Raw genomic sequence first — 12,516 nt, forward strand, 5'->3', positions numbered from 1 at the left:
TTATTTTGGAATATTTTGACTCACAATTAAGTTGCAAAAATAGCATAGAGTTCCTAGGTCCCGTTCACTCAGCTTCCCCCAATGATAACATTTTATATAACTATAGGATATTGTCAAAACCAGAAACCTGACATTGGTAGATGCTATTAGATATTAAGTCTTAACCATCCACACCAATAGAAATAATTAGTGGCACTGGATAACATGCTTACTAGATAATAAAACAAAATTAAACTCTGGCTTCTGCTTCTTGATCACTTCACTCGAAGGACTCCCTCCAAGGCCAATAAGAGTCATTATTACATCATGTGGACACTGCCCTCCTATTAGCACATCCCTTTGCCACACTAGCGGCCCCCTGCACTCCAGCACTCACAGTTAGGATGGCTGTCATGCACTGTGCTCCTGGGCTCTCCATCCTCTGACCACAACTCCCTAACCCTGGGTTCTACCTGCGGCCCCCACTCCACACCGTGGCCATCTCGTGAGTTCTCGTGGCTGTTACCAGCATCTGAATGATGATAGCTCCAAAGTGTCAATCTCTAGAGCCAACCCTAAGCCTCAAACCTGAAACGGAACTTGTCTTTCCTCCTCAAACTCGGTCTTCCACCCTCGACAATGGTCTCATTTTCCAGCAGAAGAATGTGTAACGCCCCTTCACCGCTCAGGCCCCATACTGGTACTTTGGGTGCAGGTGCTGGGCTTCAGAAATAAACAGGCTAATTGAGCCGGAGATGGGGGGTGACACAGAAACCAGGGAGTTGACTAGATTTGTTTTGCAATGAAAAATATACAAACCCATTTACTGGAATACATGGCTACAAAACACTTGAAATTCCATGCAGTGAATTTTGAATTTTCATCAAATGCATATTAATTCTATTTCTTATATGAAAATTTCTGTGTTTTTTTTTTTTTTTTTTGAGATGGAGTTTTGCTCTTGTCGCCCAGGCTGGAGTGCAGTGGCATGATCTCGTCTCACTGCAACCTCTGCCTCCCAGGTTCAGGCAATTCTTCTGGCTCAGCCTCCTGAGTAGCTGGGATTGCAGGTGCCTACCATCACACCGGGCTAATTTTTGTATTTTTAGTAGAGACGGGTCTTCGCCATGTTGGCCAGGCTGGTCTCGAACCTCAGGTGATCTGCCCGCCTCGGCCTCCCAAAGTACTGGGACTGTAAATGTGAGCCACTGCACCTGGCCTCTGTGTGTGTTTTTAAGCATCAAGAGGTATAGTTCTATGAAGAAGCTTTTTGAGCATGAACTCTGTGTGGTGAGGTGCACCTGGCATAGGAGTCCAGCAGCCCACATCTGAAAGGTGGCAGGGCAAGAGGAGAAGATGGGCTTATTTTGTGATTGGCAAACATTCTTTGCTAAAATGATGTTTTGAGAGTTTAAAATTTAAACTTTAGCTATTGATGTTTTTTTTTTTTTTTGAGATAGAGTCTCACTCTGTCACCCAAGCTGGAGTGCAGTGGCACAATCTTGTCTCACTGCAACCTTCACCTCCCAGGTTCCAGAGATTCTTCCGCTTCAGCCTCATGAGTAGCTGGGATTACAGGCATCCGCCACCATGTCGGGCTAATTTTTTGTATTTTTAGTAGAGACAGTGTTTCACCATGTTGGCCAGGCTGGTCTCAAAACTCCTGGCCTCAGGTGATCTGCCCAACTTGGCCTCCCAAAGTGCTGAGATTACAGGCATGAGCCACCAGGCCTGGCCAATTTATTTTTTAGCTTAAGATATATTAAGAGTTTAAGGTCTTGGAGAGGCACCCCCATGGGTGCACGGGTGAGATGTGCGGACCCCAGAGAGGCCTCTGTCCCTGAGGCCTATCCAGCCTGCACCGCTTCCCTGGGCAGCAGCACTTCATGCTCCCAGACTGTACCCACCTCCCACTCTCTGAGCAAATTTCAGTGAACACCCTCAATAAGATTCATGTGACATTTGTCAAATGCTTCTCTAAAATTCGAGAAAATATTCCATCTACTTCTATTCCTTTGAAGCACTAATTTTCGTCTGTCAGGAAAAAAAAAGTGGAGGGGGGCGGGGAAGAAAAAAGCAATCACATGTTGCCTGGCACAATTTGTACTTCGCTATCCCCTACCCCCAATACTGCTGATTGACTCCCAGCTTTTTTATTCTCCGGGATATGTGTACAGGCCCCCTCCTTCCATGCAGTTCTGATTGTCTTTGGTTTTTCCATAACTAGGTTTTGCAAAGATGCTTTTTACAAAGACCAGCCTTTAAAACATTATTAGTGAAGCACGTGGTCCCTAATTTGACAATGTAATCCCTTGGCAAATACACAAAGTAGCAAGGGAGAGTAGAGCAGCTCCTTTTCTAAGTCTTAAAAAGGCAATGAGGGTGAAGACTCTGACCACGTTTCTCTATCTGGGGATTAAAAAGAGAGTCGAGATTCACTTTCACTCTCTGGAGCTTCTATGTCAGGCAATGACCTGAGCATATTTACAATCAGTAGTGACTTCATTTAAATTTGGGAAACCAGGGCTACGATGGTTCAAACCCTTTCTTGGTTATTAAGGCGTAAACCCTTTCTTGATGATAATTAAGGCAAAGCGAGACTTCTGTTCTGAAGGCAGGAGATGGGAATTACAAATCCATGGAAGTGATGATAGCATTTCTCACAGCCTTACTCTCTGAGGTCTTTTCTTTCAGGTGTGGGGTGAAGAGGAGATGGTGGAAGGTATGGACATAGAGCCTCTTTCCTGAACTACAACTCCAAGCACATGGGTGGACAAAGAAATTTGGGCCCCTTCCAAGTACATGCATCAGTCATTTGGACTCTGAGATATTGGAGTATCTAGGCCAGTGCTATCCAATAGAAATACAGAGTAAGCTACACATGTAAATGTAACTTACCATTTTCTAGTAGCCACATAAAAAAGTAAAAACAAAAAACAAACAAACAAAAAAACAACAACAACAAAAAAAAACAGATGAAGTTAATATTTAAAACAATTTTTAAATTTTTTTATTTTTTTGAGATGGAGTCTCACTCCGTTGCCCAGCCTGGAGTGCAGTGCCATGATCTCAGCTCACTGCAAGCTCTGCCTCCTGGGTTCAAGTGATTCTCCTGCCTCAGCCTCCCAAGTAGCTGGGATTACTGGCACCTGCCACCACGTCTGGCTAATTTTTGTACTTTTAGTAGAGACGGGGTTTCACCACATTGGCCAGGCTGGTCTCAAACTCCTGACCTCAGGTGATCCACCCACCTCAGCCTCCCAAAGTGTTGGGATTACAGGTGTGAGCCCCCACGCCTGGCCTGAAATTAATTTTAATAATATATTTTCATTAACCCAATAAGCCTTGAATATTATCATCACATGGAATAGAATAATTATTGAGACATTAATTTTTTATATCACATTTTTGAAAAGTATTGTATATTTTATACTTACAGCTCACTCAACATCTTAATTAAGACAAGCCCCATTTCAAGCATGTCATACCACATGTGGCTGATGGCTATTACATTGGATAACACAGGTCTAAGTCACTTTGGCAATTTACGGAGATAAAAAGATGGAAAGGAGACCATAAGACAGATTATTTGAAATTGGGGTTGTTCTGAAAATTATGGGAGATTGGGGAATGGAAAAGGGTATAGACCCTTGTCCACGTCCCTCTGGGGAGTCCCACTGTATTAGTATCTTCATGGCTCTCACAGGTGACAAATAACCTGGTGCCAGCAGAATCCAAGAATCTGCAGGAAAAATTATGTCTTGTTGAGAAATTCCCTATGTGTAGGACGCTTATCATGGTGGGAAGCTTGTCTGGTGATAGCTAGGAACGATCTGCAAGGTGGAAAACGGTGCGTGGGTCAGTGCAACCACTGTGGCCTCTCCTTGGCCCTTGGGCTCCCCTAGCATCAGAAATAGATTTCACTGAATCAAGGGATTAGCTGTTCACCCGTCCTGTTAAGGCTCATGAAAGCAGAGCTTGTGAGGAGTTCAGAGTTACACATACCTTGGGAATTATTTTGTAGTCCCAAACTTCCTGTCACTGATACCTGGCCATCCTGACATTTTCTGCTAATCTAAAAATAAAGAACAGGGAGGAGCAGGCCAGAGAAGTCAGAGGAAGTGGCATCCTGAATGACTGTGTTTAAAATCTCCTGCCAGTAGATATTATCAGTTAGAAGGACTGATAAGGCCAACGATCTTAGCTTCTCACTGGTGAGAAACTGATGTGTGGATGGGGCTGTCGTAGCAATGAGGGCACAGTCACTCCCTGGAGAGGCCAGGAGACCCTGCCTTATTTATTCCCTCAGCTATTAAATGGGTTCTGTTGGCATCAAGGGGTCTCAGTAAACTCATCAGAGAAAATTCTACCCACAGCACCCAAGGGCACTGTCTCAGAGGTCATTGTCATCATCTTTATAAATACAAAGCAACAGATGTTTGCTATCATAAGATATTCTAGGTCCTTCAAAAGAGGCAAAGACCTTGGCAGGGCTCTCTTTGCCAGTGGAGTCCGCCTCTATTTGATCATCATAAGGAAGTAAAACTTCCTCGGTTTACATACCTACTTCTCTTACAAAGTTTGGGAAGTCAAATAGGGAGCAAGACCTTCTGCAAATGTCAGCCCCAGACTCTGTTAGGGTTGCGTGTTGGTTACTTGTTTTCTCAAGAATTTCTCTTTTCAACTTTTAAAGAGCGAGCATACAAACCCTGCAAACATTTTATTGAGAGAAAGCCAAGGGCACACCAATGAGATGAGAACAGCCCTGGTTTCTCATTCTTCTGCAACATAATATTAAACATGGATAAGCTAAAGGTGTATGAAAAAAATTACAAGAAAGATATTGTGAAGTTGTTCATAATTGGAAAGATGAATAGATTGGATTATTATAAGTCAGCCCAAGGTAGGTAAATTATCTTGACCACTGAGAGTGATGGAGAATCTGTTTATATGTGTTTCCTTGGGGACAATTAATTAGCCAGCCAGCAGGACTTCCTTCCTTCCTTCTTTCCTTCCTTCCTCCCTTCCTTCCTTCCTTCCTCCCTCCCTTCCTTCCTTTTTTCCTACTTTTTTTGCTAGAATAAATTAAAACTATGATTACTGAATAGTCTTGGCTCTTGGGTTTAGGGCCTGGCTATTTAGTTGAGGGAAGGCTGTCCATTCCTCTTTGTGTGTTCATCCATTTGGTCAGCAGATACTAAGGAGGGCCATCTTATACAGGGCACTGTGTTGAGACAGGGAGGTGTGGGGAACCATGTTTTTGTCAGCCAGAGCTGGGTGTGTTAGAAAGGGAAGAGGTGGGGCTGAAGCTTCTGCAGGCAGCTGCGCTGTAACCTGCTGTCTAGAAGTTCCCAGGCAGCTCTGCCAGTCTTGCTCCTCAGCTCTGGCTTCCAGCCCGTTGCTTAGAGGGCTAGTTCTCCCCTCCTTCCTTGCTTCCCTCTCCATTTATTTCAGTTCCGGCTTCCATGCCAGCGAAGAGCCACTTCCTTTGACCATTCTTCTCTGCTCTAGTAGGTTGTCTTCACTCCCTGAGAACTTGGTCAGGACCATCTGCATCAGAATGATCTCAGGGTCTTGTTAAAAATGCCAGTTCCCAGACCTTACCCAGACCTACTGAGTTGGAATATGAATCAGCATCTGTTGTGGGGGTGGAATTTACATTTCTGATAAGAGGTGGTGGTGAGCCACCACAACTAAATTTTGAGATTCCCCTCTTTCAAACCATGTTACATTTGGCAACATGAAGACGGAGGGGGCTTCAAGGAGGCACAAAGCTCAGTGGTCCACAGCTCAGTTGGCTCTAGAGTTCAAATATTATGATTCCAAGCTCTGCCACTCACCAGCCTGAACTTGTTTCTGTACCTCTCTAAGCTATGGTTCCTTCTTACAAAACACAAATGGATAATGCCTGCCTCCACTGGCAGGGAAACTATGTCTGGTGTGCAGTAGGTACTCAATAAATGTTAGCAAGTTATGTTCTGGTTACTATAGGAAAAAGACATATGAGTTTTTTTTAACTGTAATGATGGGAAGCCCACGCTCCAGAACCCCGGACCTGTCAGTCATGTCTAATTTGCAGGAGCTGAAGGCTGCACATGTTCCTGCTGGGGGAAGCGGAGCCTGAACAGCCGGTCCAAAAAGGAGAGGGGCCTTTGAGCACGAAGAGGAGGGAGGGCATCTGCGTGGGTCACTGGAGGGGGCACCTGGAAGAGGTCTAGGGAAACATTCCCCTCAGCTGAGGCCGGGGATCCAGTGGGATGAATCAGATTGGGACATAGGAACCCCTAAACTTGCTCCCAGTCTACCACCTCCACCCTCTCAGAACCCGATCATGGGCCCAGCAATGCTTCCCTCTTCTGCTTTAGTAATAGAAAAAGAGCACCGGATTAGGAGTCAGAGAATAAAGGCAAATCCCTTAATCTGAGTCTCTGTTTTCTTATTCATAAAATAGAGATAATAATGCCCTTCAGAATATATCTGTGAATTTGGTAAATTTTAAATCCTTCTGTAAATATAAGGTATTATTATTTTTAGTCCTTTCTTCTCCCATGGTTCTCTATTTAGCCTTCTTATTAAAAAAATAAAACCTAGGCTGGGCATGGTGGCTCACGCCGGTAATCCCAGCACTTTGGGAGGCTGAGGCAGGTGGATCGTTTGAGGTCAGGAGTTTGAGACCAGCCTGGCCAATGTGGTGAAACTCCATCTCTACTAAAAATACAAAAATTAGCTGGATGTGGTATTGCACGCTTGTAACCCCAACTTCTGAGGCAGGAGAATCGCTTGAACCTGGGAAGCGGAGGTTTCAGTGAGCTGAGATAATGCCATTGCACTCCAGCCTAAGTGACAGAGTGAGACTCGTCTCAAAAACAAAACAAAACAAAACAAAACAACACCCTTTACTTAAACTTGCTATCCCCTCAAGCCACCTATCATTTCTCCTTCTCTTTCCTTTAAAAAAAATTAAAATACCAAAATTTCAAAAGAAACACAGCTGAGGATGGTTGAGGAGTGCAGGTATCACAGAGTCTGGGGCAGAGGATTCGTCTGGAGGGTTTCATATGCATGTGAAACTGGGCAGCACAACTCCAAAGACAAGGGAACAGAGAGGAGAGAACCTGGCTCCAGAACAAGGCACCACCATGCGAGTCAAGGGTCTCGAAGCCTCATCTGTAGAGTGAGATGAGCAGGATAATGATACCTGCAGGACTACTGTGAGGGCTGGAATATGTACAGTCTAGCACTGTGGAGAGCACACAGGTACTCAATAAATGCTAGTGGCTGTTCTCACTTACAAGTGGGAGCTGAACGATGAGAACACATGGACACGAGGGGGAAACCAACACACACTGGGGCCTGTGGGGATGTTGGGGGAGGGAGAGCATCAGGAAGAAACAGCTAATGGATGCCGGGCTTAGTACCTAGGTGAAGGGATGATGTGTGCAGCAACTCACCATGGCACACACTTACCCACATAACAGACCTGCACATCCTGCACATGTACCCCTGAACTTAAAATAAAAGTTTAGGGAAAAAATTTGATAAATATTTGTTGAAAAAAAGAACAAATAGTTCAATAATTCTGTCATTCTTTTTTTTTTGAGACAGAGTCTCGCTCTGTTGTCCAGGTTGGAGTGCAATGGCGTGATCTCGGCTCATTGCAACCTCTTCCTCCCAGGTTCAAGCAATTCTCCTGCCTCAGCCTCCCGAGTAGCTGGGATTACAGGCACCCACCACCACGCTCGGCTAATTTTTATATTTTTAGTAGAGATGGGGTTTCACCATGTTGGCCAGGCTGGTCTCGAACTCCTGGCCTCAGGCAATCTGCCCGCCTCAGCCTCCCAAAGTGCTGGGATTGCAGGCGTGAGCTACCGTGCCTGACCAATTCTGTCATTCTTAAAAAAAGTAAATACTAGTGTCTTTGTTGCACTCCCACCCCCTCCCAACCCCCAGCTTCATTTATAGAAATGATTGATCTGTCCCCTCCTGTTCCGATCCTGTTCACAGCAGCCTGGGAAGCAGTGCCCACTCCAATCCTCTTTGGACCAGAAGCTGAGCTACACTAGATGTGCTGGGGCTAGTGGGTGAAAAAGGAACAGAGTGCTGTCCTTGCACTGAGGGAGTGTGTGTGTGTGCATGGCAGTGGGGGGCACCAGATAAGCACATTAAACCAATTCCTTCAACCTAATGCAGAGTGTGCATGAATGGGGTGAGCATAAGGGCTGTGGGAGCATCAAGGAGGCTCACAGCATTCAGCCTAAGGGGTCAGCTGGGAGGAGACTCCCCTAGAGGTTTATGATGCCCATGGAGTGAGTGGAATGGGGTTGAGAGAAGAGAGAATAGGAGAGAAGGAAATCTGAGGGCTAAGCCAGCCAGGGCAACTTGGGACCACATGGTCTTCCTTTGAAGATCAGAATTCCCAGTTCCTGAAGCTCATGTGAGAGTTTCCTACCAACCTTGTCCCCCGGTTATTTCTTGGTGTTGCTTTTCTACGACTGCTACAAATTGCAGAAGGAGAAAATATGTCTTTTGAAAATTTTTCTGTCTTTTCCTGTGTTAGTTAAAATGACAGAGGAGAGAATTTACTCCCTAAGCAAGAGATGGGGAATAAAGCGGGGGTGCAATCAGGGTGTCCACACTCAGGCCAAGTTTCAGAATGCTTGGACCCAACTCAGGGCTGGGGGGGCAGGTAAGACAGGTAGACACTAGGGACCCAGAGGGGACAACAGAAGGCTGGAACCCTTCCTGGGCGTTTCCCTTCCATACAGAAAGGTGATCTTTGACCAACTCACCACACCAATGGAGAAATAGTTGTTCATGATGCTGTATGGGACCTGGTCCCCGTTTTCCACTTCCTCTCTGGGGATGACTTCCAGATGCCAGCGGTCCAGCATCACCAAGGGGCTCTGCTCAATGTCTTTCAGGATTTTTGTCAAGCTGCCCCCTTCATAACCTGTGGAGGACAGCACTGCATTTGCCACCACAGCAGAAAGGCTGTATTCTTGCTAATGCACAGGTAGTTGTCAGGGCAGGTAAGCCCAGGGCATCTGTGACTATGGGACTCCCCACTGTGTCTGTGGGCTAGAGACACTTACGTTCCCCGAGCCACAGAGAAGGGCAGGATAACTGAAAGTAATCAGAGGCTGGGGGCAGGGGAGGGAGTGGGTGCTAGCTAAAGGTCACAGGCCTGTGTAGCTGAAGCGAAGCAAACCCTGGAGAAGCGGTGGGCTGGATGGCTGGGAGTCTCTGCATGGGAGAACAGCAGATCCTTCTGGGCTGTGTCATGTGGGAGATGGACAGTGTGGCAGGCAGAATTTTAAGATGGCCGCTAGGCCTAGGTCCTGCTTGCTTTGACACTGCCCACCAAGCATAGCTGATCATTGAACACTGACCATTGCACTGCCTGGTCTTGACTCATTCTCTGAATTAGCAGCCATCTGGAGTCCCCACCCCTTTTCTGGCCGGCAGCCTGATCTGTCTGCTCCATGTGTTGAGCTGAACTTCTCCATTTTCTGGCGCATGTCCAACGCCATGGGGGCTACTGCAGTTTGCAAAGTTCTCTGCCCCTTGTCTTATACACTGGTTACCACTCTGTGTTTCCTCTTAGGGAAATTTCAAAATGAGGGCCCATGGCTATGGGGCTTAGGATGATCTGAATGCTTCTAGTGACGGTAAGTAACTGGAGATGTAGCATTTTGGTCCTCAGTTTTAGTCCTAATTCAGAAGATCAGCCATTTGTGGGAGAGGGAATTTCACACAGAAAACATCTAAGTGAGCACCTTCTTGGATGGGACTCTGGGGATGGGACATATGAGACTTTGTCTTTACCCTACAGTTGATTGCTTTCTACTGGGGAAAGCAGGCTCTAAGTTGATGGTTTCAGGATGATAGTAAACTCGGGGCTGAGGGAGAAAAAGCTCCCAGAGCCCAGAAGAGGGGCTTCTATTCTAGATTCAGCATGGGATGGAGGGCAGAGAAAGGGTCATGGACTTGACATGACTGCAGAGTTGAGTATTATGCTGCGGAATGTGATCCATAAAAGGGTAAGTTCAGCCTAGCTCTGTAGAGCATCTCTGTAAACAGGAACACCTGTTCCCAGGGTACCACCATTAGCATGCAAACTCACCTCCTCCCCAGCGGAGACAACGGGCAAGGTCATTTCCTGTTCCAAGAGGCAGGACAGCCACTGGTGGATGCTTTGCAAAGTTGGCCTTATCTGCAAGACACACAGAGGAACAGAGAACCATATGCCATGGGACTGTAGAATGTTTGAGTTGTCTTTTTATCCCTGATCTGATGCTTGAACCCCTCCATAGCATTCTTTGTTTGAATACCACCCTGATGGGAAACACACTACTTCCTAAAGCCATCTATCCCATCTGCAGCGTGTTAACCACCACTAATTGAGTTAAATCTGTCCATTTGTATTTTATATTGAGCTAAATCTGTATCCCTGCAACTTGCATATGTTTATTCAAATTTCATCCTAAATCTGTCCTTTGGGGTGGCAGCATACACCCCAAAACATTAAGTTGCATGTTTTTAATCCTTAATGATAATCAGCACTTACTCCATTTATTCCTCAGCCTAACTTTGTAAGGGATTATCCTCCTTCAAGTAGCTGAAGAAACTGAGATTGACAGAGGGAAAGTAGTCTACAACCATTCTACCCTGAACACGCTCAATCTCATCTGACTGCAGCAGCTAGGCCTGGTCAATACTTGAATGGCAGACAGGGAAAGTAATTCCAGAGCCAGGATTCAAACCCAGATCTCTATGGCTCCAAGTCCATTCCCCTCCTCTCTTCAGGGGCCAGGCAGGTATACAGATTAGTAAAACAGGTGGGGCTAGGACACTAGGGAATAGTGGGACATTGGACAAGCTGAAGATGCTCACCTTCAACTGTTCACCACTCGAGTTTAAAAGTTTAAAAACTAACATTAGCTAAATGAACAAAACCTCCAGGTGTTATTTGGCCCCCACAACCAGTTTGTCACTTCCACCACCTCTCAGAATTGCAATGACACAGATTCCTAATTATTCCTCTTCTGACAGTTGTGAAGGACATCAGACAGAACCATCAGAGAAAGCACAATAGAACATGTTTTCATCTGGCCTCAGATCTACCGTGGCATATTGTCTAGGCTGGGAGAGCTGAAGAGGGCACAGGCATCCATCAGTCTTGGGGGTGGGTGGGTATTTCCATGAGACCTCAGCACGCATGGTGCCCCTGGATGTGAGCAATGTGATTGCGGCGTGAGGAGAGATGCAGGAATCAGCAGGGAAGGCTCAAGCTAGGGTTGTCCTGGCAAACTGGGAGCTCATAGGTCCTCCAGGTTGTCTGACCTATATCAGAAATGGCTGAGCGCAGGCAAGACCCAGGACTGAGATGGCCACTGGAAGGCTTGAGATAGAGAGCAAAACAATGCAATGGCCCCTCTCGTTGTCCTCAGAACATGTGTTCAGAGCACTGCCTCCCTGCCTTTGCACAGCCTGCTCCCTTTGCCTAGAAGGCTCTTGTTTCCTGTGTCTGCCCCTTCTTCTGTGTCCCCACCTCGGCAGGTCAACTGTTGTTATGGTGTTTAGGCTAGAAAGCTGTATGCCGCCCTAGGTTTTTCCTTTTCCCTCACACATCCATTCACATATCACATTCTATGTGTTGTCTCCTTACTAGATCTCCAAGCAATCTCTTCTCTCTATCCCCATGGTGATGCCTGAGTGCAGGTATGATTCCTTCCCACTGGTATCGCTGCAACAGCCTCCTCTCGGCTCTCTCCGCCTCCAGTTCCACCCTCCTAGTGTGTCACCCACACTTTCACCAAGAAGGGAAGTCCATGAACCACAGTCCCTCGCACTGGCTCACTGCTTTCACTTCTGGGATGGGGCTGTGTGGCTCCTCATGGCCCCATAGCCTACCACAGTAGGCCCAGGAAGCAGGCTCTGCCTTTCTCCCTAGCCTCATCCTTCTGCACATCCTGCCTCCCACGCAACATGTCAACCGTTCTCAAGTGTTTTCACTTCCTTAAAGCACAAAGCTCTCTGTGGCTCAGCTCAGAAGCTGCCTTTGGGAGACCCTCCCTAGTTGCCCCAGCCTGGACCTGGTGCCTCGTCAGAATATTTCCTTAGCACCAGAAATGATCTCTTTGTACTCTCTTGTAATTATCTCCTTGTTTGTTCCCTGAATGTATTGTAACCTCCCCGAGGGGGACTGGGTCTCATTCTCACAGCATCTTCATACATATCGACTGAAGCCTGCTATATGCAGATGCAGTGTTAGGTGCTCCGGCTCTGAGAGTGGGCAAAAAAGCCGTGGCTTGGGTTCTCATGGTGCTTACCGACTGTCCAGTGGGACAGACAGATAATAATGAGGAATCCATGGAGATAATGCATCATTTCACATTCACGTTGGAAAACAAACAGAGGAGCACTGTCGTATAAGAAGGTGACTGAGGCTGGTGGGTGTGTCAGGGGAGGCTCCCCTGAGTAAGCCACATGTCAGCTGAGATCTGGAGTGGAAGCTGACTGAGTGAAGGCTGGGGC

At 46.5% G+C, this 12,516-nt stretch overlaps 1 protein-coding gene across 3 annotated transcripts in view, besides 3 other annotated features; it reads right to left on the reverse strand.

The window, feature by feature from the left end:
• Window positions 1–12,516, reverse strand: part of DGKG (diacylglycerol kinase gamma) — a 215,034-nt gene that overhangs the window by 95,790 nt on the left and 106,728 nt on the right. For all 3 annotated transcript variants that reach the window (NM_001080745.2, NM_001080744.2, NM_001346.3), the window contains 2 exons: window positions 10,103–10,192; window positions 8,769–8,929 (listed from right to left, as the gene is read on the reverse strand). In NM_001080745.2, coding sequence (NP_001074214.1) covers window positions 8,769–8,929; window positions 10,103–10,192 — 251 coding nt within the window. The remainder of the gene's footprint in view (window positions 1–8,768; window positions 8,930–10,102; window positions 10,193–12,516) is intronic.
• Window positions 5,164–5,213: an enhancer, noted in NCBI's record as "active region_20934". NCBI's record gives its function as "activates an Ori minimal core promoter by ATAC-STARR-seq in GM12878 lymphoblastoid cells {active_cell/tissue: GM12878}" and the evidence as "EXISTENCE:reporter gene assay evidence [ECO:0000049][PMID:35858748]".
• Window positions 12,057–12,116: an enhancer, noted in NCBI's record as "active region_20935". NCBI's record gives its function as "activates an Ori minimal core promoter by ATAC-STARR-seq in GM12878 lymphoblastoid cells {active_cell/tissue: GM12878}" and the evidence as "EXISTENCE:reporter gene assay evidence [ECO:0000049][PMID:35858748]".
• Window positions 12,217–12,506: an enhancer, noted in NCBI's record as "active region_20936". NCBI's record gives its function as "activates an Ori minimal core promoter by ATAC-STARR-seq in GM12878 lymphoblastoid cells {active_cell/tissue: GM12878}" and the evidence as "EXISTENCE:reporter gene assay evidence [ECO:0000049][PMID:35858748]".

Source organism: Homo sapiens, chromosome 3, assembly GCF_000001405.40.
Source record: "Homo sapiens chromosome 3, GRCh38.p14 Primary Assembly".
NCBI classification, from domain to species: domain Eukaryota; kingdom Metazoa; phylum Chordata; class Mammalia; order Primates; family Hominidae; genus Homo; species Homo sapiens.